The sequence below is a fragment of the Homo sapiens genome, chromosome 8 (assembly GCF_000001405.40).
Source record: "Homo sapiens chromosome 8, GRCh38.p14 Primary Assembly".
Lineage (NCBI taxonomy): Eukaryota > Metazoa > Chordata > Mammalia > Primates > Hominidae > Homo > Homo sapiens.
Window position 1 is genome coordinate 142,467,348 of NC_000008.11, and position 25,846 is coordinate 142,493,193.

The 25,846-nt window shown below is 61.0% G+C and overlaps 1 protein-coding gene and 1 long non-coding RNA gene across 18 annotated transcripts in view, besides 5 other annotated features; one reads left to right on the forward strand and one right to left on the reverse strand.

Moving 5' to 3' along the window:
• The window catches only part of ADGRB1 (adhesion G protein-coupled receptor B1), a 95,359-nt gene that overhangs the window by 17,699 nt on the left and 51,814 nt on the right, over positions 1-25,846 (forward strand). For 14 of the 17 annotated variants that reach the window (XM_017013695.2, XM_047422057.1, XM_017013691.2 and 11 more), the window contains exons 3-17: positions 8,127-8,288; positions 9,238-9,348; positions 9,767-9,931; positions 10,038-10,202; positions 10,840-11,013; positions 11,976-12,140; positions 12,346-12,447; positions 13,907-14,013; positions 14,170-14,364; positions 16,630-16,698; positions 17,309-17,417; positions 21,017-21,160; positions 21,688-21,763; positions 21,989-22,091; positions 23,425-23,468. In XM_017013695.2, the coding sequence (XP_016869184.1) occupies positions 8,127-8,288; positions 9,238-9,348; positions 9,767-9,931; positions 10,038-10,202; positions 10,840-11,013; positions 11,976-12,140; positions 12,346-12,447; positions 13,907-14,013; positions 14,170-14,364; positions 16,630-16,698; positions 17,309-17,417; positions 21,017-21,160; positions 21,688-21,763; positions 21,989-22,091; positions 23,425-23,468 (1,891 nt within the window). The remainder of the gene's footprint in view (positions 1-8,126; positions 8,289-9,237; positions 9,349-9,766; positions 9,932-10,037; positions 10,203-10,839; positions 11,014-11,975; positions 12,141-12,345; positions 12,448-13,906; positions 14,014-14,169; positions 14,365-16,629; positions 16,699-17,308; positions 17,418-21,016; positions 21,161-21,687; positions 21,764-21,988; positions 22,092-23,424; positions 23,469-25,846) is intronic. The other 3 variants (XM_017013693.2, NM_001391985.1, XM_017013697.2) reach the window with 2 other exon arrangements.
• On the reverse strand, positions 1,201-8,290 carry LOC124902075 (uncharacterized). Its single transcript, XR_007061195.1, has 2 exons — positions 7,810-8,290; positions 1,201-7,597 (listed from the first exon to the last, which is right to left on the reverse strand). It is a non-coding gene; the product is annotated as an uncharacterized LOC124902075 (long non-coding RNA).
• Positions 2,185-2,926: an enhancer, noted in NCBI's record as "H3K27ac-H3K4me1 hESC enhancer chr8:143550893-143551634 (GRCh37/hg19 assembly coordinates)". NCBI's record gives its function as "activates a minimal SCP1, AML or CMV promoter by ChIP-STARR-seq in naive H9 embryonic stem cells {active_cell/tissue: H9 hESC(naive)}" and the evidence as "EXISTENCE:reporter gene assay evidence [ECO:0000049][PMID:30033119]".
• Positions 2,927-3,668: an enhancer, noted in NCBI's record as "H3K27ac-H3K4me1 hESC enhancer chr8:143551635-143552376 (GRCh37/hg19 assembly coordinates)". NCBI's record gives its function as "activates a minimal SCP1, AML or CMV promoter by ChIP-STARR-seq in primed H9 embryonic stem cells {active_cell/tissue: H9 hESC(primed)}" and the evidence as "EXISTENCE:reporter gene assay evidence [ECO:0000049][PMID:30033119]".
• Positions 4,411-5,150: an enhancer, noted in NCBI's record as "H3K27ac-H3K4me1 hESC enhancer chr8:143553119-143553858 (GRCh37/hg19 assembly coordinates)". NCBI's record gives its function as "activates a minimal SCP1, AML or CMV promoter by ChIP-STARR-seq in primed H9 embryonic stem cells {active_cell/tissue: H9 hESC(primed)}" and the evidence as "EXISTENCE:reporter gene assay evidence [ECO:0000049][PMID:30033119]".
• Positions 4,472-4,721: an enhancer, noted in NCBI's record as "active region_28064". NCBI's record gives its function as "activates an Ori minimal core promoter by ATAC-STARR-seq in GM12878 lymphoblastoid cells {active_cell/tissue: GM12878}" and the evidence as "EXISTENCE:reporter gene assay evidence [ECO:0000049][PMID:35858748]".
• Positions 8,204-8,503: a silencer, noted in NCBI's record as "silent region_19599". NCBI's record gives its function as "represses an Ori minimal core promoter by ATAC-STARR-seq in GM12878 lymphoblastoid cells {active_cell/tissue: GM12878}" and the evidence as "EXISTENCE:reporter gene assay evidence [ECO:0000049][PMID:35858748]".

Here is a 25,846-nt window from a genome sequence, read left to right on the forward strand (position 1 = left end):
CTGCCACTGGCCTGGTCAGGACGCTGCAGCAGCAGTGGGAGGGAAGAGGAGGGCCTTGGGGTGCAGCTGATGATCGACTTACTGATGAAAGGATGTGGACATGGGCAGGGAACCCCTCCCAGGTGTCCCGCCAGAAATGAGGATGTCAGCTGAGTTGAGGAAGTGGGGCTGGGGGTTGCAGAGGAGAAGAAGATCTGGAGGTCAGAGTGGGACTTGAGTGTGAGCTGCCTGTGAGGTAGCCAGCTGGCAGTGTCATGTGAACAGGCAGCTCTGACAACTGGAGCACCAGGACAGGGCCAGGGTGGGGCAATGGATGCTTGAAAATAGCTTCTGAGCCACTTTTGCAGAGCCCCAGGGCCTGGGTTCAAATCCCAGCCTGACCCGGCTTGCCGTATGTCCCTGGGCCAATTCCATCAGGTCTCTCATCCCCTCAGGCCCCTCATCTTTAAAACAGGAAGGGTAAAAATATCTTGTTTCTTAGATTGCCCTGATGAATGAGAACTGGGGTGAAGTGTTTCTAAGCAGAAGCGATGTTGACGATGAAATATCAATATGCTCGCGTATTCTTAGGCAGGGAGACTCTAGAGGGCTCAGGGAGCAGAGACAGACTGGAGGCAGGGATATTCGAGCAGCTTGAGGTGTGCACGGAGATTCTGAGAAAGGGAATGTTTGGAGGTGGTGCTCAGAAAGAGGTGGGAGGATGTGTGTTCACGCATGCATTCATGCAAGTGTGTTGTGTGTGCGTGTTCATGCATGTGCGTGTGCAAGTGTGGCATGTGCACGTTTGCATGCATGGCATACATGTGTGCATATGTGCTCATGCATATATGTGGTGTGGGTGCCCCCATGTAAGTGTGGGTGCGTGTGTGTGTGTGTGTGCGTGTGCAGTACATTACTCATGTGCGTGTGTGTGTGACATGCATGCACGGTGTGAATGTATGTATCCAGGCTGGGCTCTGTGCAGCGATTTTTGACAGAACACAGGTAAAGGCTGTGGGGCAGGGGCCGTTGGTCTTGTGGAAAGACGGCTAGAGGGCATATTGACTCGGCTGCTGGCAACATGAAGCAGGGAGCTTGTCATCTTGTGCAGGATGGGGTGGAATGTCGTCTCCTAGGCCCAGAGACAGTTCGGACCCTAGTGCCCACGCTCTGTGCCCAGAAGGCCCTGATGCTTCCAGGACCACAGCAGCAAAAGTGATCTCAGTAGTAATAGTCATTTATTGAGTGTTTACTTTGTGCCAGAGGCACCTGCACGGGAGATAGGCTCCTGTGGAGGCACGCTCTGCCTCAGGGCCTTCACACAGCTGTTCCCTCTGCCAGGAAGTCTTCCCTAGAGACCCGCAGGGCTCCCGCCTTCCAGTCCTCACGCACATGTGACCTTTCATTGCAGGCTACCCTGACCGTCCTGTTGAAAATGGCAGCAGCTCTGGGCCCACTCTCTGACCCTTTATCCTGCCTCTGTCTCTGCACACATGTGTCACCTCTCAACACACTGCATAATTTCCCTTATTTGTTGTGTCCACTTCTGATTGTCCAGGCCAGGATGTAAGCAGCACAAAGCAGGCATTGCCAGTTCCCTGACGTGCCCCCCAACGTGTAGAACAGTACCTGGGAGCAGCAGGCACTCAGTCAGTCCAAGTTGGAGAAAACCAGGCACAGACATGTTAAGGCAGCAGCCAGGGCCACACAGCTTGTAAGTGGCAGGCTGATGGCAGAGCCCCTTGACGCTGCCATCGAGTGGTAACACTAGGGCGTCTGCAGTGAGCTCTGCTCAGAGCTGTGCGTGTGTGCATGTGTGTGCATGCGTGCATGTGTGTGTGTGTGCATGTGTGTGAATGTGTGCACATGTGCATGTGTGAATGTGTGTGCATATCTGTGAATGTGAATGTGTGCACACATGCATGTGTGTGAATGTGTGTGCACGTGCAGGTGAGTGAATGTGTGTGCACGCGTGCATGTGTGAATGTAAATGTGTGCACATGCATGTGTGTGAATGTGGGAGTGTCTATGTGCACGTGCATGTGTGTGAATGTGGGAGTGTGTATGTGCACATGCAGATGTGAATGTGAGTGTGTGCACGTGTGAATGAGTGTGTGCACGTGCGTGAATGTGTGTATGCACGTGCATGTGTGAGTGTGTATGCACGTGCATGTGTGAATGTGTGTGTATGCACGTGCATGTGTGAATGTGAGTGTATGCACGTGCATGTGTGTGAATGTGTGTGCATGTGTGCATGTGTGAATGTGTGTGTGCACGTGCATGTGTGTGTATGCACGTGCATGTGTGTATGTGCACGTGCGTGTGAACGCAAGTGCGTGTGTGTGCACGTGAATGTGTGTGAATGTGTGCGTGCCTGTGTGTGAATGTGAGTGCATGCACATGCATGTGTGTGAATGTGTGAGTGCCTGTGTGAATGTATGTGTGTATGTCTCTGTGTGTGCACGTGCGTGTGCGTGGGGGGGATGGGGTGGCATGAGGACCAGAGAGGCAGGTGACCATTCAGAAGACACACAGCTGAGCAGAGGCAGAGTTGACCCCAGATCCTGCCAGCTGAGACCTGTGCCCAGGGAGCGTTGTGCCCTCGCTGTGGGACCTGGGGACACTGGGACAGGCTTGTCCATCCGTCCATGTCCCTAGCAGGCAACACACAGCCAAGTGCAGGAGCAAGCAGGCAGCCCAGGCCAGCCCGTGGCCCATTTTCAGCCCTGCCCCCCGCACGGCCTGTCCAAGTGCCACATGGCCACGTCACGCGTCAGACTCTGCAAACACTCCTCAGGCCAAGCAACTGTTCCCCTCCACCTCGTGCTGCCCCACGCCCCACCGCCCCCCAGGCTGTCAGGCCCCTCTCCTGCCGGCTCTCTCTGGCTCTCATCACTTCCTCCCCACTGCCTCCCTTTGCATTTTTCCGCCTAGGGTGAGTGGGGCCGTTTCTCTCAAGGGTTGTTTTAAATATTCATGTTTTAATTAAAGAATTTTATTGCACGAGCGACATGGAAGATCATGAAAAAGCAGCGTCCTGGGGCCTGGGAGCAAGTGTGTGTGTCCTCGTGTGTGTGTGTGTCCCTATGTGTCCCCGTGTGGTGTGTGTGGAGCCATTTTTTGCACAAGGAGGGACAGGGGAGCCACTCCTTTTGCACAAGGGCCAATTTAGTGTATGTGTCCCTGTGTGTGTGTCCCTCTGTGGTGTGTGTCCCTGTGTGTGTGTGTCCCTGCTTCCCTGTGTGTGGTCTGTGTGCCTGTGTGTCCTCGAGTGTATATCCCTGTGTGTCCCTGTGTGCGTCCTCTGTGTGCCCACAGGGAGTGGGTATGGGAGGCTGGGCTGGAACTGGGTGTGGAGTGTGAACCCACACATTCCGTTGGGCTCCTGGATCCTGCAGGGGTGTGGGAGGCTTACTGCTGGCCGAGGGGCTGTGACCGGCCACGGAGATGGGGTGACCTCCCCCTCCCTGCCCTGCCTCCAGGGTGAGTCAGGCTCAGCCCAGGCCCACCTGCCCAGTGACCCCACACTCACTCTGGAGGCTGTTGGAGACACAGTCAGGCTCAGCCCCAACCCCAGGAGCCCCGGAAGTCCTGGGAAGAGGCATCTGGAGGCCTGTCTGGGGTGTGCAGGGGCAGAGGGAGCGGCAAAGCCTGGGCTGGAATTTGGAGAGGAGTCAGGATTGGAGTGGAGTTTGGGACTCCAGGTAGTCTCATGGTGACAGGGAGCACCGAGGGGCTTGGGAAGGTGCCAAGGTCTCCACTGTCAGGGGTTTCTGGCTTGGACAGGAGAGCCACTCTTTTTGCACAAGGGCCAATTTAGAAAAATCTAGAAAACAAGAAGGCTTCAGTCCCCATCACAGACAACACCCATTTCAGATGGGGATGGCAGGATGGGGCCCCATGGGAATGATATGCTGGGCCCACCATGCCTTCAGCCCTTCACCTCCTCCGCTCAGAGCCAGAACGCACCCCACGCCCGCCTGGCTGCGAGAGAGGCTGAGAATCAGGGCACTGTATTTTGGTTCCACTTCCCAGAAAGATGGGGAGAAAGGACATGGAGCTGGCAGCAGACAACCGGGGTCGGGGCCCGGGCGGTGGGCAGAGACTTGTCCAAGGTCTCCGGGATGGGCCCTGGGCTTTCAGGCTTGTAAACAGGGCACCATTCTCAGGCCAAGGAGCACCTGCCTGATCAAGAAAAGGAAGCAACAAGACTCGGCCAGCTCAGGGAGCCTCAGTTTCCCTCCTGAGAGTTAGAGACGGGACAGTACCTGCTAGCAGGGCCTACGTGAGGCTTTAAGGAGATGGAGGCTTGACAGGTTTCGGGGAGCCCCGCTGCCCCACGAGGCTCCTCGCTCTTAGCTCACCTGGGAAGTGGCCTGCCGGATGGTGGACTTGGCTTCTCAGCCCCATCCTGAGATCTGCTGGTGCCCGCCTCTGTGGCGGGAGGAAGGGGGACCAGCCACTTGGGCACCTCCAGTAGGAGCGGCTGGCAGCAGGTGGGCTAAGTCAGGCCACCAGGCGCCCCATCCACCCTCCGGGGCCCTCCCTTCCACGTCCGTGCAGGGGGCCCTGGTCTAGGTCTCAGAGGAGTCTGGGTGCCCCAGGACAAACCCTAACTTGGAGCCTGGGCTGGAGGTGGGGTCATCCCTCGGACACGCTGTGGGTGCCTGGGACCTGGTGGCAGAGCAGGGTGGGAATGGCAGAACTGACTGACCCTCCAGCCCCGGTGCTGCCCGACCTGCTGGAGTCGGGAGACCTCTGCTGGCAACAGACAGAAGTGCACAGCTCTCCTCCAGAGAACAGCCCGGAAGCTAGGGAGGCCCAGCTGGAGGGAGGGACGCCCCCTGTGCTCCCCCGCACCCCCATCCCAGCCAACTCGGGGTGCGGGCTGTGGGGAGCTCACAGCCTCCAGTCTGGGGCGCCAGGGTGGGAAGGACACCAGGAGGCCTCTCACCAAGCACCCTCTCCCCTGGGTGGCCAGGCTGCCTGGGGCCGTTAATTGGCTCTATTCATCCCCTTAATGAGATGGAAATGAGGCTTCCAGACAGAGCCGGCATTGAGTGGGGGAAGAAAGGCGGTTTCTTTCCGGTCCTGGAGGGGCGGCCCACCCCCCAGCCTGCTTGCTGCTCCTCTGCTGCCCTTCACTGTCCACCCAGCTCAGACACACTGTGGCCACCCAGTGAAGCGTGGCTTGAACACCTCTGCACCCTGCACTGCGGACCCCAGGGGCTCCATCCTGGCATTGATACATTCACTAGACAAACATTTACTGAGTGTCAGCTAAGTGAGGGGACACACATCAAAAACAAAACAAGAATAAAAATAGCAGCTACCATTTTCTCAGTGTTCATTAGTAGCAGGAGTGTGACCAAGATGGGGGATCAGTCTGTGGCTGGGATCAGGGCTCAGTATATAACAGGATCAGGAATTCTGTGCCCAAGATCAGAGGTCAGTCTGTGATAAGGATCAAGGCTCAATATGTGACCAGGGTCAGGAATCAGTGTGTGACTAGAATCGAGACTCAGTATGCGTCCAGGGTCAGCTTGTGACCTGGATCAGGGCTCAGCACGGGTCCAAAGTCAGGGTTCAGTATGTGACCAGGGTCAGGCTTGGTTTGTGGGGGCAGGGTGATCCATCCTCTGGGCCAGTGTCCCGCCCCTCCGAAGCCTCTCCTGATGTGCCCCCGCCCTTTCTCCCCCTACCACATCCTCACCACCTGGGTCACCAAGGTAACCAGCCCTGAAATGAGTGGGTGTTTTGGCAGCTGAGGCCTAACCTGGGTCTCTCCTGAAAGGCTGCGTGCTGCAGCAGTTGCCATGGGAACCGAGTGGCATCCTCCGATGAGCCTGGCTTGGACACCCTCTCTCTCCCGCCCACTGCCAGTTTCCACGTCACTCAGGCTTCCGCATGGGGGCTGGGCTGGGACGGCGAGGGGGGTGCCGCAGGACGTGCCACCCTGACCCATTGTCAGGCCCGCCCCTTAGGACCCCGTCTGTGCCTTTGCCTCAGAATCGGGGTGGTGGGATGCCTTCAGCAGATGAGACCACTGAGGCCCGGAGCACCTGGGCCCCAGACAGTCCTGGCAGGAGGCCTTAGTCTGGGGGATGGGGGCGTTTGGAATCTGACCACCAGTTCAAGTCCAGGTTCCTCTCCTTGTCCTGAGTTAGGGCATGTGACAGGGCAGCCACGAAGGGCCTGTCACCTGTTCCTATGCTGTGGGCAGGTGCCACCCTGTCCCGCCCTTGTGCCCTGGAGGCCGTGCTGAGTCCCCCACCTCTCCTGGCATGGCACGGGCTAAGCACGCTATGGAGGAGGCAGCTCAACTGCTGTGCACCCTCAGCCAGGTGCTCTCCTCTCTGGGACCTGTGGGAGTATGGCTCTGTGAGTGAAGGAAGAGGGTTCTGCAGCAGGTGTGGGGGCCTGGAAGACTCCTCCCACCCTATGGACCCCACCAGGGAGAAAATGAGGCCTCCCACAGCTGTGGTGGGTCAAGTCCCTCTCCTGGGTCTCATCCCCATGCCCCTGGCACCCCCTGCTGGCCATTCCTGGCATAGGTGTGGGGAAGTGGGGCAGGGTGGGGGGCACTCTGGCTGGACACTGAGTTTGCTGAAAATCAAAGTGGGGCCCCGGGAGTCAACTCTGACCCAAGTGACAATGCCACACGCCGTCCTCTCATATCCTTTTTTGCTGTTTGACTTCCCACTTGTCAGTCCTGGGAGGTCAGCCATTATCCTCATGTTGTAAATGATGGGAGTGAGGCCAGTGGGTGGTGGGGCCACTGGGGGAATCTGGCAGCTGGAGCTACCCTGGGGTCTCCTGCAGTCCACACTCCCACTGAGGGAGGCAGGGCCCCTTTCCTGAGGCTCCAAGAGGCCCTGGGGCCCTTCTGGTGGGTCGGGGTGGCCTGTGCTTGGCCTGATTGCTGCCCCTGGGGCCTCCCCTGCTGTACCTGGGATCGAGCTGCCGGATCCCCAGTGTTCCCCAGTGGCAGCGGCCCCAGCTCCATGGTGGGTCCCCTCGTGGTGGCCGCCAGCTGTCTCCTCGCCACCGTAGCCAGGAGCAGCACTTGGCAAGGGCTGCATGCCCTTTCCAAGTCGCCCGACCCTGCTGCACAGGGTGTACATGAGCCCAGAGTGCTGGGCAGGAGGCCCGAGCGGGAGGCCTGGACGCGGCAGCCCCTTCCCGGCCCCCTGGTGCTGCTGCCCCTCTCTGGCCCACAGATGGCAGTGGCCCTCTCCTGCTTTGTGCTCCTCCATGGCTACCCAGTGCTCCAGGACCATGGGCACTCCAAGCAGCCCAAAGTGTTTTTGGCAGCACGAGGACCCCCCGGGAGCAGAGACTCCTGGGGCGTGAGGTCTGGTTTGCTAGGGGAACACAGGTCCATGAAGGCCGCGGGGACTGTCGGGGCAGGGATGGAGAAAGACTCACTAGAGAAGCTGAACAGAGCGGCCGGGGTCAGGGCAGGGGCGTGGCGGGGAGGCGCCTGCAGGCATTTATCCCAGGCTCCCTCCTCGGGTGGCCAGCTGGCCAGGTCCAGGGCAGGCTCCGTCAGGCTGTGCCCTGGGTTCGAGGCCCTGGTTGGACACCAGGTGTGAGGCCTTGATCACCACTGGTATACCTGCGTGGGGTGAAGAAGCGGCTCCAGGTCACAGCTGGGGTGTGAAATGTGGAGCCCTGGTGATGAGGGTGGTGACCCTCCGCTGAGCCCATGAGGAAACTGAGGCTCTGATGAGCAGGGCCTGGCCAGAAACTGGACGGAGCCTGGAGAGGGCTTCCAGGCGTGCCAGGAACCAGAGCCTTGGAGGCCAGGCCCCTCTACCCTCTGCTTACCATCAGGACGCTGTGCTCTGAGGCAGCCCTCTGGTGGGCGGAGGTCGTCATCCCTTCATCATCCTGGCGGCAAACCTGCCCAGTGGCGGCTGGCACACGGGGACCCTTCAGGCTCAGACGTGACCTGAGCTCTCCAGAGGGGGCCCGGGAGCTGGGTAGACACCAGACCCCCAGGTCCTCCCAGGCCAGGCCTTCCCCGGCACTGCGGCCCCTCCCCACCCGGGCCGGCCTCGGCGGGCTTAGCACCCCCATGACTTACCCGTCCAGGCCACGAGCCCCTGCCCTGCCCTGATCCCCGCCCTCTGGTTTCCCCCCAGGCGGCTGGAAGCTGTGGTCCCTGTGGGGCGAATGCACGCGGGACTGCGGGGGAGGCCTCCAGACGCGGACGCGCACCTGCCTGCCCGCGCCGGGCGTGGAGGGCGGCGGCTGCGAGGGGGTGCTGGAGGAGGGTCGCCAGTGCAACCGCGAGGCCTGCGGCCGTGAGTGCGGGCGGGGCGGGGCGGAGCCGGAGCCCTGGAGAGGCGGGGCCTGTGAGGGAGGAGAGGGGGGTGGGGCCCTGGAGAGGAGGGGCCCGTGGGGGCGGGGCGGGGCCTCGAGCAGAAGGGGCCGGTGGAGGGAGGGGCTTGGGGGCGGGACCAGGTAGGGGCGGGGCCGGGGCCGGGGCCTGGCAGACGCTGGGCGGGGCCTGCAGGAAGAGTGAATAGGGTGGGTCTGGGCTCTGAGAAGCAGGACCTAAACTCGGGGCTGGCCCGTGGGAGTGGGGCCTAGCCGGGGGAGCAGAGGTGAGGGCCCCGAAGAGGGTGGTGCTTGGGGCTGGGTGGGACTAGTTGGGGCTTTCTTCCGGTTTGTGGATTGGGGTTTTTGGAGGGTGTGCGGAAGGCTGGCTGTGGGACCTCTGGCCAAGCCAGCCCGCCTGCCCCAGCCGGATACTGCCTCCAGAATGTATTTCTGTAATAAGGCTCTCTAATGACCCCATGCATTTTTTAGCTGCTTCCATGAAGTTAAATCACGTTGTAATGAGACTGTCATTGTTTGGGCTGTTTTTTCCTTGGTGAACTTTCCTGGGGAGAAGAGCTCCTCTCAGGAGCCTGGGGAGGGCCCCGGGGCATCGGCTGGGCTGCGGAAGGGAGGCAGGGGGCTGTTGGGGTGCCAGGCACGGGAGAGCAGCCGTCCTGCAGGTGAACGCTGGCCTGTGGGCGGTGGAGGCAGTGAGGGAGGTGGCGCGGGGTATGGGAGACAGGACCCACAGGAAGGGTCCCCTGGTGACCAGATGAGGGCTGGTGCCAGGCTGGGCACTCTGGTCCCTGGCTCCCAGCTGCCCAGTGGAGCCAGGTGGCCCAGTGCTGCCGAACTCAGAGCACTGTGGCCACAGAGAGAGAGGACGGGGGCAAAGAACCGCTCCTGTGCTGACCTAAGCCCGTCCTGCAGCCGCTGGGCGCACCAGCTCCCGGAGCCAGTCCCTGCGGTCCACAGATGCCCGGCGGCGCGAGGAGCTGGGGGACGAGCTGCAGCAGTTTGGGTTCCCAGCCCCCCAGACCGGTGAGCTGGCGGGAGGGGGGTGGGTGGGACTAGGGCTTTGGGAAAATACTGTAAGTTATCAATTGCAGCTAGTTATGGGTAGTAACTTGAATAACATGCCATAACTAGACTAAACCCTTAGGTGCAGGGCTCTTGTCTCCTGACTGCCTGGCATTAGGGGAACTGGTGTGAGGTGAAGAAACGTGTCCCTGGCCAGACCCCAGAGGCCCAGGGATGGCACAGGCCGGCCCTCAGGGCTCCCAGCCTTGTAGGGGAAATGGCCAGTTCTTGAGATCAGCCTGGTTCGAAGGCCCGGGGGCTCTGCCCCAGCCCCGCTGCCTGCTCCCCAGCAGGGCAGCCCTCCTGCTGCGGGGTCTGGCCCCGGTCTGACTGCAGCCCCATGGGCGGCAGGCCTGTGACGCTGTAGTGGGGCCTGCAGGTGACCCAGCAGCCGAGGAGTGGTCCCCGTGGAGCGTGTGCTCCAGCACCTGCGGCGAGGGCTGGCAGACCCGCACGCGCTTCTGCGTGTCCTCCTCCTACAGCACGCAGTGCAGCGGACCCCTGCGCGAGCAGCGGCTGTGCAACAACTCTGCCGTGTGCCCAGGTGGGTGGGACCTTGGGCTGGGGCAGCGGACAGCCAGGGCAGCGGGGGGCCAGGGCAGCGGGGGCGGTGGCCGCAGTGGGCAGCAGCACCTTCCGTCCCTCTGCAGTGCATGGTGCCTGGGATGAGTGGTCGCCCTGGAGCCTCTGCTCCAGCACCTGTGGCCGTGGCTTTCGGGATCGCACGCGCACCTGCAGGCCCCCCCAGTTTGGGGGCAACCCCTGTGAGGGCCCTGAGAAGCAAACCAAGTTCTGCAACATTGCCCTGTGCCCTGGTAGGTGAGAGGGAGGGCGTAGGGGCAGGGAGGAAGGGAAGAAAGGGGAGGTCACAGTGGGCCACCGGCCAGGCCCAGGAGCCCAGCTTTGCCCACTCCAGACCCACCTCAGGGTGCTCAGAGGTTGGAACCTCAGACTGGGTTTAGGAAGCAGACTGAGGTGTGACCTTGGGGCATTTCCCACCCATATCCCAGGCTGGGTGTGGGGTGGTGACCTCTAGGGTTTTCTCACCCATATCCCAGGCTGGATGTTCATGCCATGTCCCAGGCTGGGTGTGGGGTGGTGGCCCCCAGGGTTTTCACACCCATGTCCCAGGCTGGGTGTGGGGTGGTGGCCCCAGGGTGTTCTCACCCATGTCACAGGCTGGGTGTGGGGTGGTGGCCCCCAGGGTGTTCTCACCCATGTCACAGGCTGGATGTGGGGTGGTGGCCCCCAGGGTTTACTCACCCGTGTCCCAGCCTGGGTGTTCTCACCCATGTCACAGGCTGGCCGTGGGTGGTGGCCCCCAGGGTGTTCTCATCTATGTCCCAGGCTGGGTGTGGGGTGGTAGCACCCAGGGTGCTCACACCCACATTCCAAGCCAGGCATTGGGGTGCCGGGTGTTCACGCCCACTTTGTGTCTCCTTCCTCCCCCGGGCCGGGCAGTGGATGGAAACTGGAATGAGTGGTCGAGCTGGAGCGCCTGCTCCGCCAGCTGCTCCCAGGGCCGACAGCAGCGCACGCGTGAATGCAACGGGCCTTCCTACGGGGGTGCGGAGTGCCAGGGCCACTGGGTGGAGACCCGAGACTGCTTCCTGCAGCAGTGCCCAGGTCAGGGGTGCGCCAGGCTGGGGTCGGGGGGCACCTAACAAGCAGGAGCCTCTAGGAAGGGGACAGGCCCCACAGCGGGTGGGGGTAACCATGGGCCCCGGCATGTGACTGAGGAGGGAGTGGGGTGCACAGTGGGGTCTGGGGTGGCTGTGGGGGAAACGGAGCATGGGGTGGCTGCAGGGTGAGTGAGGTGCACTGTGGGGTGTGGGGTGGCCATGAGGAGAGTGGGGCATGGGGTGGCCATGGGGAGAGGAGTGGGGTGCACAGTGGGACTTGGGGTGTCCATGGGGAAGTGGAGGGTGGGGTGGCTGTGGGGTAGCAGGGTGCACAGTGGGACTTGGGGTGTTTCTGGGGGAAGTTGAGTGTGGCCATGGGGTAGCGGGGTGCACAGTGGGACTTGGGGTGTCTGTGGAGAAGTGGAGTGTGGGGTGACTGTGGAGTAGTGGGGTGCACAGTGGGACTTGGGGTGTCCATGGGGAAGTGGAGTGTGGGGTGGCCATGGAGTAGTGGGGTGCACAGTGGGACTTGGGGTATCCATGGGGAAGTGGAGTGTGGGGTGGCCATGGATTAGTGGAGTGCACAGTGGGACTTGGGGTGTCTGTGGAGAAGCAGAGTGTGGGGTGGCCGTGGAGTAGCGGGGTGCACAGTGGGACTTGGGGTGTCTGTGGGGAAGTGGAGTGTGGGGTGGCCGTGGGGTAGTAGGGTGCACAGTGAGGTGTGGAGGGTGGTGGGGTTGGCTGCATGTGGGGTGTTTGCTTTATTTTGTATCAGGCTGATGACTGATTTCTCCTCTCCTGGTCTGAATTTCCCTTCTTTGACCTCCTGCCCCACATTCCTGGGTCCCTATGTTTCACTGCCGCATGGCTCTGTGTGGGTCCCTGTCTTTGTGTCCTCCTGTCACTGTGGCTCCTGGACCCTGCCCTTCTTGTCGCCTGTGCCCTGTGTCTGGCCACGCCCCGCAGTGGATGGCAAGTGGCAGGCCTGGGCGTCATGGGGCAGTTGCAGCGTCACGTGTGGGGCTGGCAGCCAGCGACGGGAGCGTGTCTGCTCTGGGCCCTTCTTCGGGGGAGCAGCCTGCCAGGGCCCCCAGGATGAGTACCGGCAGTGCGGCACCCAGCGGTGTCCCGGTGAGGCCCCTCCTACCTGGGCTGGGCTCTGGGGAGGGCTGATGGCGATTGGGCGGGCTTGGGCTCAGCTGTCACCCACGTGGTGTGTTGGGGGCTCCCGTCCTGTCCTCATAATGATGCCTGCTCCAGGCGCCTTGCACCTTCCAGAGCCAGCTGCCGGCTCTCAGTACCCCTTCCTGAACCCCTGTCCCGGGCCCCTTGGCAGAGCCCCATGAGATCTGTGATGAGGACAACTTTGGTGCTGTGATCTGGAAGGAGACCCCAGCGGGAGAGGTGGCTGCTGTCCGGTGTCCCCGCAACGCCACAGGTGAGGGCTGGAGAGCACGTGGTGTATGGGGGCTCCCGTCCTGTCCTCACGGTGATGCCCACGCTGAGGTGCTGTCAGCACTGGGAGGCGGCCCAGACACGGAGCCCAGACAGCCTGCGTGTGCTGGCGCGGGGTGGTGGGGCCGCGAGCCCAGGGCACCGTGTGAGAACTCTGTGGCAGCTGCTGTTCTGAGCACTCGCTAGGGGCTGGCACCCATGCTCAGCCCTAACGCAAGATGTCCACGGAGTCTAAGCAACCCAAGAAGCCGCCACCATTTACAGCTGGGAAACTGAGGCACAGGGAAGTGAATGCCCTTGCCCGGGGCTTGCGGGGACAGGAAGAGGAGGTCTCTGTTGAATGCCAGCCTCAAGGAGAAAGCAGGGCTCCACGGGGAAGGGCTCGCTGCACTAGGGGCAGGCCTCCTTTGCTCCTCCTTTTTGAAGGAGTGCAGGTGCTTTATGTCCCTGACAGGCAGCAGGCAGAGAGGATGGGAGCCTGGGTTCAAACTCTGGTTCTGCCCTTGTTTGCTGTGTGACATTCAGAAACTGCCTTAACCTCCCTGAGCCTCAGTGTTCTCATCTGTAGGATGAGGGCAGTTGGGGTTCCTCTGCTCAGAGCTGCTGTGGGGAGGTGTGGGGGACGGTGGCAGGGGCCCTGTGTTGCCAGCTGCGGCTGCTGCTCCTCCCTCGCTCTTCTGATTACAGAACAGGGCATGTTCTCGGTAGCAGATTGCAAATGCTGAGAAGCAAAAAGAAGCACGTGAATGCCGCACGGTGGCGTGCCTCCCCTGGCCTTTGGTCTGCATGCGTGGCAGGGTCTCCCAGTGCCGCTCATTTTTGGCCCCATCTAAACCAGCATCTGCATCCAGTCCTGTGGCTCTTGTCAGGTGTCAGGGCTGCGACAGTTCTTTGTGGCTGCCGCCACCCTGTAAACACTCAGCTGTCCCTGTTTCTCTGATGATGTCCTGGGAGTGAGCTCTGTATCACAGGGTGTGCCGTGTTTAAGGCTGTTGTCCCCTTAATGCCCAGCAGCACCCCAAGGCTGCCCCCATGTCTCTGGGCCAGGCTGAGGCCCCTGTAGCCCTGTGGATGCAGCCAGGCAGGGGCCCAGGGTGCTGGCTCCCTCCAGGGCTCTGGGTTGGTTAGAAGGGGCTCCGAAGGAGGTCATGGCTGAACTCTGAAGGCCCTGCTCGGCCGAGATCTCCACCTCCATGCAGTGGGGTTCCTGAAGGCTTAGCTCCTGCCAGGTCCTGAGTCCTTGGGGCAGGTAGCAGCTGGAAATGTGTTGATGAAGGGAACGAGGTCCCTGCGTGGACTCTGCTCTCGGCGTGAGGCCATGGGCGAGTCCCTGTTTCTGGGGGCCACAGGGTCCCTTCCAGAAGGTCTGCTGCCAGGGGCCAAGGGTGGGATTCCTGGGCCAGGCAGCGGGCATCCACCTGAGAAGGGGATGGTCTCCCCAGGACTCATCCTGCGACGGTGTGAGCTGGACGAGGAAGGCATCGCCTACTGGGAGCCCCCCACCTACATCCGCTGTGTTTCCATTGACTACAGAAACATCCAGATGATGGTGAGGGCCAGTTCCCGGGGGTCTCCAACCCCTCCCCAATCACCCTGGCCACACAGGTTGGGACCCTGCAGAGGGTCCTAGGCATGGGAGATCCTGGGTGGCTGCCTGGACATGTTCCACAGAGGTGAAGGCACCCGCCCTCTCTGTCTTCCGCAGACCCGGGAGCACCTGGCCAAGGCTCAGCGAGGGCTGCCTGGGGAGGGGGTCTCGGAGGTCATCCAGACACTGGTGGAGATCTCTCAGGACGGGACCAGCTACAGTGGGGACCTGCTGTCCACCATCGATGTCCTGAGGAACATGACAGAGATTTTCCGGAGAGCGTACTACAGCCCCACCCCTGGGGACGTACAGGTGGGCTCCCCGAGCGGCATTTTGGAAGAGGGTGTCGGGAAGGTGTCTGGGGAGCCCTCCTCGACCTTAGAGATGGATCCCCAACCCTGGCCACAGCCCAGGCCCTAACCCATGTCATAGGTTGAACTCTGACCTTTGTCACACATTTAATCTTGGTCACACATTGAGCCCTGACCCTGGTCACACACTGAGCCCTGATCATAGGCTGAGCCCTGACCCTGGTCACATGCTGAGCTCTGGTCATAAGCTGAGCCCTGATCCTGGTCACACACTGAGCTCTGGTCACACACTGAGCCCTGACCCTGGTCACACACTGAGCCCTGATCATAGGCTGAGCCCTGACCCTGGTCACATGCTGAGCCCCAACCCTGGTCACACACCATGTCCTGATCCTGGTCACACTCTGAGTCCTGACCCTTGTCACAAACTGAGCCCTGATCCTGATCATACACTGAGCCCTGACCCTGGTCACACTGAGCCCTGATCCTGGTCACACACTGAGCCCTGATCCTGGTCACACACTGAGCCCTGACCCTGGTCACACTGAGCCTTGATCCTGATCACACACTGAGCCCTGATCCTGGTCACACTGAGCCCTGATCCTGGTCACATTCTGAGCCCTGATCCTGGTCACACACTGAGCCCTGACCCTGGTCACACTGAGCCCTGATTCTGGTTACACTCAGAACCCTGACACTGGTCACCCACTGAACCCTGACCTTGGTCACCTGCTGAACCCTGACCTTGGTCACATGCTGAACCCTGATCCTGGTCACACGCTGAGCCCTGACCCTGGTCACACTGAGCCCTGATCCTGGTCACACACTGAGCCCTGATCCTGGTCATGCTGAGCCCTGATCCTGGTCACACACTGAGCCCTGACCCTCGTCACATGCTGAACCCTGACCCTCGTCACATGCTGAGTCCTGATCCTGGTCACACGCTGAGCCTCGATCCTGGTCACACAGTGAACCCTGGCCCTGGTCACACACTGAGCCCTGATCATAGGCTGAGCCCTGACCCTGGTCACACGCTGAGCTCTGGTCATAAGCTGAGCCCTGATCCTGGTCACACGCTGAGCTCTGGTCACACGCTGAGCCCTGACCCTGGTCACATGCTGAGCCCTAATCCTGGTCACGCACTGAGCCCCAACCCTGGTCACACACCATGTCCTGATCCTGGTCACACTCTGAGTCCTGACCCTTGTCACAAACTGAGCCCTGATCCTGATCATACACTGAGCCCTGACCCTGGTCACACTGAGCCCAGATCCTGGTCACACACTGAGCCCTGATTCTGGTCACACACTGAGCCCTGACCCTGGTCACACTGAGCCCTGATCCTGGTTACACTCAGAACCCTGACACTGGTCACCCACTGAACCCTGACCTTGGTCACCTGCTGAACCCTGACCTTGGTCACATGCTGAACCCTGATCCTGGTCACACGCTGAGCCCTGACCCTGGTCACACTGAGCCCTGACCCTGGTCACACACTGAGCCCTGACCCTGGTCGCACTGAGCCCTGACCCTGGTCACACACTGAGCCCTGATCCTGGTCACACTGAGCCCTGATACTGGTCACACACTGAGCCCTGACACTGGTCACATGCTGAACCCTGACCCTGGTCACACTGAGCCCTGACCCTGGTCACACGCTGAGCCCTGACCCTGGTCACACCCTGAGCCCTGACACTGGTCACATGCTGAGTCCTGACCCTGGTCACATGCTGAGTCCTGACCCTGGTCACACACTGAGCCTCAATCCTGGTTACATGCTGAACCCTGGCCCTGGTCACACACTGAGCCCTGGCCTTGGTCACATGCTGAGCCTCAATCCTAGTCACACACTGAGCCCTGGCCCTGGTCACACCCTGAGCCCTTATCCTGGTCACACTGAGCCCTGATCCTGGTCACACACTGAGCCCTGACCCTGGTCACACTGAGCCCTGATCCTGGTCACACACTGAGCCCTGACACTGCACTGGTCACATGCTGAACCCTGACCCTGGTCACATGCTGAACCCTGACCCTGGTCACATGCTGAGCCCTGACCCTGGTCACACACTGAGCCTCGATCCTGGTTACACACTGAACCCTGGCTCTGGTCACAGTGAGCTCTGACCCTGGTCACACACTGAGCCCTGATCCTGGTCACATATTCAGCCCTGACCCTGGTCACACACTGAATCCTGACCCTGGTCACAGTGAACGGTGATTTTGTGCCCTGTTCTCTGTCACTGGCCCTTCTTCCTCTTCTTTCCAGAACTTTGTCCAGATCCTTAGCAACCTGTTGGCAGAGGAGAATCGGGACAAGTGGGAGGAGGCCCAGCTGGTAGGGCCTGGGGCCCCTACGGTCAGCAGCCTCAGGAGGGGTGCAGGCACAGCTGGTGCCTCCCTGGTCTCCAGTCGGCCTGGGGTGGGGTCCCGCCGGGTGCTCTGGGTTTGGATCTCAGGATGGTCTCTTGCTGGTGTTGGCAGCACTGAGGAAGCTCAGCATTCCTAGCCTGTTTCCTCATTTGTCTAAGGACAGTCATTTATTTCCTGGGGCTCAGTGAGGAGGTTCCAGAAAATACTGAGCACATGGGGATGCCAAGGCAGCTGGGACATAGAGCCCTCCTCATGTTGGGGCAGTGGGCAGTGCTCACTCCCCCAGGCTGACCTCCAGCCAGCCACCACTCCTAGCCCGGGCAGCACCCGGCATGGGGGCTGTGGGTATCCAGAGACTTTCCCCAATCCTGGGCTTCCCATGGGTGGGGCACAGCAGCCCCTCTGGGCATCTGCTTTCTCATCCCCAAAGTGGGGTACTCAGAGGTCACCAGCCCCACTTCCTCAAAATGTTAGGAAATGGCCAATAAGAAAAGGAGGGACAGGGAAGGGAAGGAGGCAGGGGCTAAGGGACAGTGGGGCCTCCTCCCTCGGCTGCTCACCCCCCTGCCCTCCAGGCGGGCCCCAACGCCAAGGAGCTGTTCCGGCTGGTGGAGGACTTTGTGGACGTCATCGGCTTCCGCATGAAGGACCTGAGGGATGCATACCAGGTGACAGACAACCTGGGTAAGCCTGCCCGCCTGCTGCCACCCCCCATGCCTTGCTTTGCAGCCCTGGGCCAGGCCCTTCTGCCTCAGCATCCTCATCTGTATAAAGGGGCAGTGACCAGACAGCCTTTGTGGGCCCTCCCAGCCGATTTCTCAGATGGGTCCTGTTTTCAGTCTCCTGAGGGTTGATGATGTGGCCTAGGAGGGGATGAGACACAGCCCACGGGGTGTGGACCTGGGAGCTCCGTCCCCAACCAGCGCTTCGCATGTACCCACCTGGGGCCAGAGCGTATTCTGCCTGTCACCCCCAGTGCCCTCCCTGTGGAGCTTTAGAGGCAGGGGCTGTGCAAGCCACACTTTCCCTGCTTGTCAGTCCCAGTAGTGCCTTGCCAGAGGGGCCTGGACTCCACCCAGCTCCGTGGTGTCAGCCGAGTCTTAGTTTCCTCATTTCTAAAATGAGATGATAACGGTGCCCATCTCATGGGGAGGTAGAGACTGATGAGACGAGTGAGTGGCTGAATCCCGGGGTAAAAGGTGGCTGTCATTACAAACACAGCAATTCTATTTAATGACTGTTACTACAGTGCCCTCAAATATCTCTCAAAAGCCACGTTTCTCAAACTTTCCCTGCCTTGATCAGAGAGTCTCTCAAAGCAGAGGACCCAGGAGTGGGTGCTGGCCCCAGCTGTGATCCCTGCTACTAGGGAGGCCGAGGTGGGAGGATCGCTTGAGCCCAGGAGTTTGAGACCAGCCTGGGCAGCACAGTGAGACCCTGTCTCTACAAATGTTTTTTAAAAAATTAGCACCAAGGAGGGAGAGTGTCACCTCCCCTGTGGGGATGCTTCACCTTTAGTGATATGACCAGGATCAGCTGAGCTTTGTCAGCACACACACCCTGGGGCCTTGCCCAGTGCCTATACTGGTGCCCAGGACGTAACTGGTAGCCAGCTCCCAGAGCACTCGGCACAGCCCACAGCCCCTGGAATGGCCCACACACGCTTCAAACCCTGAGCACCGTGGTTACCCCACATGCTTCATAACCCTGTCTCAGTCCATTTCCTGTTGCTGTCACTGAAGGGGTAATCTATAAAGATGAGAGGTTCTGGAGGCCGGAAAGTCCAAGATCACAGCTCCAGCTCTGAGTGAGCACCCTCCTGCTGCAGCACAGCATGGCAGAGGCAGCCCATGAGAGACAGAGCAAGTATGCCCGCTGAGGTCTCCCTTCCCATAATACCACTAAAGCCATCATGGGGGCCACCCTCGCCCTCCCAAAGGCCCCACCACCAAGTACCATTAGCAGATGAAATTGGGGATTCAATTTCCAACACGTGAACGTTTACAGGACACATTCAAGCTATAGCACACCACAGACACCCTGTGCATCCCATATGCTCCACTCAGCTGTGCTCAGCCTCACTCACTCCCAGGACCCTGCTTCTCTGCCCAGGCCCCCACCCCTACATCCCTCCCTCACTCAGCTGCCAAGAACTGGACGCCAGCAAGAGCGGCTTCCCATCGCATCTGTTTATGCAAACCAGATGAAAGGAATAATCCCTCCCGACTGTCAGAGCTGTAGGCCAAAGTGACACAGAAGCTGCATGTAGACAGACTATGAAGGCTCGAACTCTGATCCCTGCAGCCAACCTTAAACCCAGAGACCTGCCATGACCGGGTTGATGACCCAGTGTTTTCACCAGTAGAAATGTCCATTTCAATATTCATCTCGGCACAAGGTGCTTGGCACTCCCGAGGTGTCCCATCCCCAGGCCTAAAACAGACACAGTCCGAGGATATTTAAGTTAAGCAACCCTAACTTCCACGTGACCAGACCTGTACTGCAGGCGGCATTCAGACGTGTCTGGTGGAAACCATAGCTTCGTGCCTATTGTACTTGAACAAGTCCCACTAAAACATGTCCAAGACGGATCGACATTCTTATTATAATGTCTTTGGGAGGCTAACTAGCATTAACCTTTTAAATTAAAGACTGAGGTTAGGCACAGCGGCTCACGCCTGTAATCCCAGCAGTTCAGGAGGCCAAGGCAGGAGGATCGCTTGAGCCCAGGAGTTTGAGACCAGCCTGGGCAGCACAGTGGGACCCTGTCTCTACAAATGTTTTTAAAAAAATTAGCCAGGCATGGTGGTGCACCTTTAGTCCCTGCTACTAGGGAGGCTGAGGTGGGAGGATCGCTTGAGCCCAGGAGGTCGAGGCTGCAGTGAGTTGTGATCACACCACTGCACTTCAGCCTGAGCAATAGGCTGTCTCTTTAAAGAACAAAAAAAGACAAAGTTCTGATTTTTCCATAGTGAAATGCCTCAGCTAGAAACATCAACACGACTGATTGCTACTACTTCAATAATTCTGCCACTTTTCATCTTGTTCCAATGAAATATTTCAAAGTTTGCCCCTTACCCGGGCACACCTGCCACAGCCCACCCTGGTGCCCATGCCAGCCCTCCACCGCCCCTCGATGACCCTGTGTCCAGCCTCCCACCCCTTCGCCTGCTCCAGGGTGCTGCTCCAGCGTCCGTCTGCCCCCATTCCCCGCTGCAGCTTCCCAGCAGCCCCTTGCCCCTGCAGGCCACCTGCCCTTTGACATTTCTTCTTGTCCTCACCCCCGGTTCTCTGATGGTCCCTCCTGCCCCTCCGCTCACTGGGTGCTGACCCAGTCCGAATTCCCTCTGCCCTCCACTGGGGCTGCCAGTGACATCCATGGTGCAAAACCCTGTTCTCGGGCATCCGTGCCGCCCACTGCATTTGGCGCTACTGATGCGCATGCCCTCTCCTCCTCTCCCTGCCGCATCTTGGGCTGCATTCTTGAGGCTCCACTGGGGCCTGTGAGGGCTGAGGCCACGGCCCCAGGGCCAGGTTCCCCCAGAACAGTGGGTCCCTGTCAGCACCTGCTTCCACCCCAGCGGCACTTCCCCAAACTCTCTTCCCGTCCAGTTGCCCCAAACCTGCTGCCTCGTCCCCACGTCCATTTGCCCCTAAACGTGCTGCCTCATCCCCATGCCCATCCACCCTGAGCTCAGGGCCCTTCCGCACCCCCAATGCCTTCCTTCCCAGAATGGGAGGGAACACTGGATCCCTTCTTTCACCGTGGCCCATACTGCCCTTTGATGCCTGAGCCCTGAGGCAGGGCAGCCCCCATCCCCCTTCTACAGAGGGAGGGGAGGCGGGATCAGCTCACAGAGCTGGAGGGCAGCTGGGCTCCCCTGTCCCAGGAGGGAGTGGGGGGCGCTGAGGAGGTGCCTGGTGCCTGCGGATCCCTCCATGGCCACAGGACAGACCCCAGAATCTGCCTTTGACCACCTTCTGGGCCATGGAGGGTGGGAGGGGCAGGCTCCCTGCCCCTCACCGAGGCTCCAATTCAGCAGGACCAGGACCGGCCCAGCCTCTGCCTGGTGCTCCTTGCTGTCTCTGCTCCTGGACCTCACCGAGGTTCTGGGGGCTGGGGCTGGGGCAGATGGCCCCCACACTCCTGCCTCTGAGCCATGGGCACCCCGCGGCATCAGCCTGCACTGCCAGGCCTGCACCTCAACTCCCGCAGCTGAGGCCCCGCCACATCTGTGACTTTCCCTCCTCTCTGTCTCTCCCGCCTTTGACCCTGCTCCCAGTTCTCAGCATCCATAAGCTCCCAGCCAGCGGAGCCACTGACATCAGCTTCCCCATGAAGGGCTGGCGGGCCACGGGTGACTGGGCCAAGGTGCCAGAGGACAGGGTCACTGTGTCCAAGAGTGTCTTCTCCACGGGGCTGACAGGTGAGGGGCCCAGGGAGTGGAGGGGGACCTTCATGGGGGACGTGGGCCCCAGAGTCGGACGGTCACCACCCTTCTGGAGTCTAGCTGCTGCCTCAGAGTTGGGCGGTTCTCAAGGGGGTCCTCTTTTCCAGGAAGCCCTCCTTGCCCTCTCTGGGGCCAGGGCCTGCGGATCAACCCTGAGGCCCAGGCAGAGGGGTCAAGATGAACCACCTTGCTTCAGGGAGGGACAGGGAGTCACGTGTCAAGGACCCTGTTACCTGGAAGAGAGCCATGTCCTGCCTGCCCGTAGCTCTCAGGATGCCCCAGGGAATGGCCCGGTCTCCCTCTTCCCACGTGGCTGTTGCCCCAGCTCCCTGGCTGCAGCACTGTGTCCGTGGGTGGGTGGGCCTCACCATCCGCCAGGGCCCTGGACGCGACCTTGAAGATGGGCGGCAGATGCCAGTGACAGCGGGGTCCAGGCCAGGCTGCCAAGTCCCACCCTGGCTGTGGGGATGGCGGGCCGGGGTTGACAGTGCACTTTCTTCCAGAGGCCGATGAAGCATCCGTGTTTGTGGTGGGCACCGTGCTCTACAGGAACCTGGGCAGCTTCCTGGCCCTGCAGAGGTGGGGAGCCCTGGGCAGGTGGGGTGGGCAGTGCAGGGCAGGTGGGGTGGGCAGGACCCCAGCCACAGGATGTGAAGGGGGAGGCCAGGGGGCCTGGAGGAGTGTGGATGATGGGCTGTGGAGGGTGGCGGCGGGTACAGGGGCCCTCGGGGGCACCTGGGGAAGGGCCAGGAGGAGCCTGGGCTGGGAGGGCTCCCCCGACACCTGTGCCTCTGGCTCTTGCAGGAACACGACCGTCCTGAATTCTAAGGTGATCTCCGTGACTGTGAAACCCCCGCCTCGCTCCCTGCGCACACCCTTGGAGATCGAGTTTGCCCACATGTATAATGTGAGTGCCGTCCACGTGCACACTCTGATGCCAGCAGAAACGCGTGTGCGCGAATTCTGTCCCACTCCTCAGCCACTAAGCCTTTGGGGCCTCCTCACAACAGCTTTAACCTTCGAGAGCTACTTTTATCCCTGGATTACAGGTGGGGAAACAGGCTCAGAGAGGTGCGGTGACTTGCCCGGGGTCACACAGCAAGTGAGGTGCCGAAACCCCATCTGTGCCTGACTCCCCACCTGGGCTCCAACCACTCTGCCCTCCAGCCCCCATTGGCCTGGTCATTCCGCTTCTGAGAAGTGGAGCCCGTCCCATGACTTCTGGCCCCCTAACGCCTGGCCACCAAGAAGCTGGGGGTGTAAGTACACCCTCTGCCGGCACCGCCAGGACTGACACCAGGCCTCGCCTGCAGGGGCCCTGGGATTTCAGCACGGGAGCGTCCCCCCAGAACTCCCTGGCGGGAAGCCCCAGCCTCCAGGCCACGGCTGCTATGTGAGCCCTGCCAGGTCCCAACCCTGCTCCTTGGAGCTCTCCAGAGCCCTTCCTTGGGCCTCAGAGGAGTAGGGGCCGAGATGCCCTTCTGATGGGCCGAGAACCAGGGCCCCCAGGGAACACGTTGCCTGGGTTACCGCACCAGGACTGGGCAGTGCCAGGCCTCCAGCCCAGGCCAGGGCTGTAGGAAGCCACGGGAGAACCCAGCCCTGTCCTTTCTAGCTGTGTGACCTTGGGAGAGTTGTTCAGCCTCTCCGTGCCATGGTTCCCTCCCTTATCAAGTGGGAACAATAGGGCTGGGTGAGGACTGAGTCTCACAGCTGCTCAGAGCAGGCCACACCTGAGAGCCACCCTCAGGAGCTGTGGCCATCTCTGCTGTCACTGCCCCATCTTGGCAGTGCTAGTGTGTGGCAGGCCTGGCAAGGCTGTGTCCCAGGAATGCTAGCAGGACGTCAGAGCAGTGCAGGGTGCTTACAGAGGCCACTGTGTGCCCGGTGACCCCTGCTCACTAGGCCCCGGGGGAAGGGTCTTCCCATCACCCTACTTCATACCAGAGACGGACTTCAGCCATTGCTGCCCAGCCTGGCCACTGGACCTGGGCTCTGGGAGGGGCCAGGAGCTGCCCGAGGCCACATGGGTGGTGGGGGCTTGTGCCAAGCCCAGGTGACCTTGGGCCACTGCTGTCTCCACCCTGGACTCAGTTTCCTCCTCGCAAAACGCAGTCTGTTCAGGGACCCGCACAGGTAGCATGCCTGGTAGCACACCTTTAGGTGGGTCCCATGGTGACCCGAGGGTGGGGGCTGGTCCTGGCTGCCAGGGGCCCTGACTCCTCTCCCCTCTCTCCCAGGGCACCACCAACCAGACCTGTATCCTGTGGGATGAGACGGATGTGTAAGTTCACTTGGATTTCATGGCCGTGGGGGTCTGGGGTGGGGTTCGTGGGAGGCTGGCCCAGTAGGGGAGGGGTGCAGGTTTCAGGTCTTGTCCACTTGCCCCCCAGCTGTCTGTGTACCCGCATGGGCCTCCGTGTCACCACCTGTCACTCACTGTCTGGCTCTGGAGCCCACCAGGCCGCCTCCCACCCCCTCCCAGGGATGTCCACAGTTCAGGGAGGAGCGGACGTGGAGGTCCAACCACAGGCCAGGTGATGGGCAGGCGTCCTGGCCTGCCACCTGCCCCCAGCCCCCAGCCCCATGCCCACAGCAGGTGGAATCCTGACATTCAGGTCTGCAGGTGGGTGCCAGGCACTGAGGGGCTGCGAAAGCTTCCATGACAGACCAGGGCAGCATGGAGTGGAACTGGAACTTCAGGCTCATCAGATGGGGGCGTGGGCCCCTGGGGTCTTCAGTGGCCATATATCCTGTGCCAGTTGCAGGCCAAGCACTTGTTGGGTGCCGGCTGGCCCAGGCGCTGTGGCACAGCTGGAGCAAGTTCCACGCCCCATGTGGGGTTCCGCAAGGAGCAGTCAGGCTGTGGGGTGCCATCTCGGGGCCCTGGTGGGTGTGCCAGAGTGGGGCCATCCTCCCAGACAGCAAGGTGGGGGCAGCGAAGAGAAGCTCGCCCAGTCACAGGAAGAGTCTGTGTAAAGGCCCAAAGTGCCAGCGCCCAGGGCTGAGCTAGGCCAGGACGTGGGGAGATGGATAGAGCGATGGCGGCCGGGTCCCAACATGCGGCTCCGGCCTGAGGGGTCCTCAGTGTGTGGTCGGGGACCTGGGTGTGTGCACCCTGCCGCCCGCCTCCTCCGAGCGTGTTCCTCCGGCTCCCTCAGCCCCAGTCCCTCCTGGCTGCTCTGACATCACCAGCCTCAGGCCTCCCTGCACCCCTTTCCCGGGCCGAGTGTGTGCGGTCAGCATGGCCACCTGGGTGCCGGTGGCACTTGTGATGGTCCCTTGCGTGGTGGGTAGTTCAGTGACAAGGGAAGGCTCTGTGAGTGGCAGGCGTTGGAGGACAAGGCTGCCTGACAGGGAGAGGGAGGCAGGTGGCTCAGGAGGAGACAGCTGGAGCAAGGGCAGGGAGGCTGAGGGCATGAGGAGCAGGGAGCCGGCCAGGAGGAGCAGGCAGAGGCAGGCAGGGGCTCAGGGGAGGCCGCGGCAGGGTGAGGACAGTTAGTGGGGGCTGGGTGTCATGACTCTCCACCTACCCACCACCCATCCACCCTCTCCTCTGTCTGCCTGTTCTTTAATCTATACCCACTGCCACCACCCTCCACCCACCAACCATCAACCCTCTCCTTCGTCCACCTGTTCTTTAATCTATATCCACTGCCACCACCTTCTACCCACCACCCATCCACCGCTCCTCCGTCCGCCTGTTCTTTAATCCATCCGCCCATCGCCCACTGCTCACCACCCTTCCTCCGGCGGTCACTACCCTCTGATGGGCACTATTCTGGCAGGTCCCAGCCTTTAGCCTCCTCTCCCCAGTGAGGAGGGATGGGGAACAGGGACAGACGGAGCAGTGTGGTGATGCCCGGCCGTGCATGGGCCGGGAAGGGAAGCTAGCAGGGTCTGGATGCGGGTGGGGAGGGGCCTTTGCAAGCAGGGTCATGCACGCCTCCGAGGGAAGGGGAGGTTTCGGCAGAGGCCTGGCAAGCACAGCTCTGCGTGTGAGTGTCTGGGGATGAGCGTCGCAGGGGAAGGAGCAGCCGGGGCAAAGGCCTCAAGGTGGGATTGGCAGGTCACACCAGGCTCCTGCCTTCTCTGCACCCCACATGGTGGACTCTGCTATGTTTCCTGCCCTGGGTCTGGGGTTGGCAGCTGGGCTGGGGAAAGCTGGGTGCCCTGCAGCCCTGGGGAGCCAGCTCTCTAGCTCTCGTAAGGGTGGAAAAAGAAAATGCAAGAAGAAAGCCCCCCTGCTTGCATGACCCAGGCCCACCCCTGGGCTTTGCATTTTCAGGGGGTGGCAGTGCGGGGGCTGCAGGTGGGTCTCTCACCCCCACAGCCCCAGCACTTCCACCAGCACAGGCCCCTCCCCACAGTGCAGAAACCCTCCATCCGGGCTGTTCGCCGGCCGCGGCAGCTCTCGGGGGGCTGCGCCCTGGTTCACTCAACCAGCCCCTGCTGGTGGCCTTCAGGAGCCTTCCCTCTCTACCAGCATAAATGCCAGCGTGACCAGCGATCTTGCGAGGACAGCTTCACCCGTACTTCTGATTGCTCCCTGGGGATCAGTCCCCAGGCAGTCTTGTCAGGTGGAGGGTGTGGGCCCCTGGGGGGCCTGCAGAGTAAATTGCTTTTTAGAAAGGAAAGCATCCCCTTTGTCCTCCAGGGCAG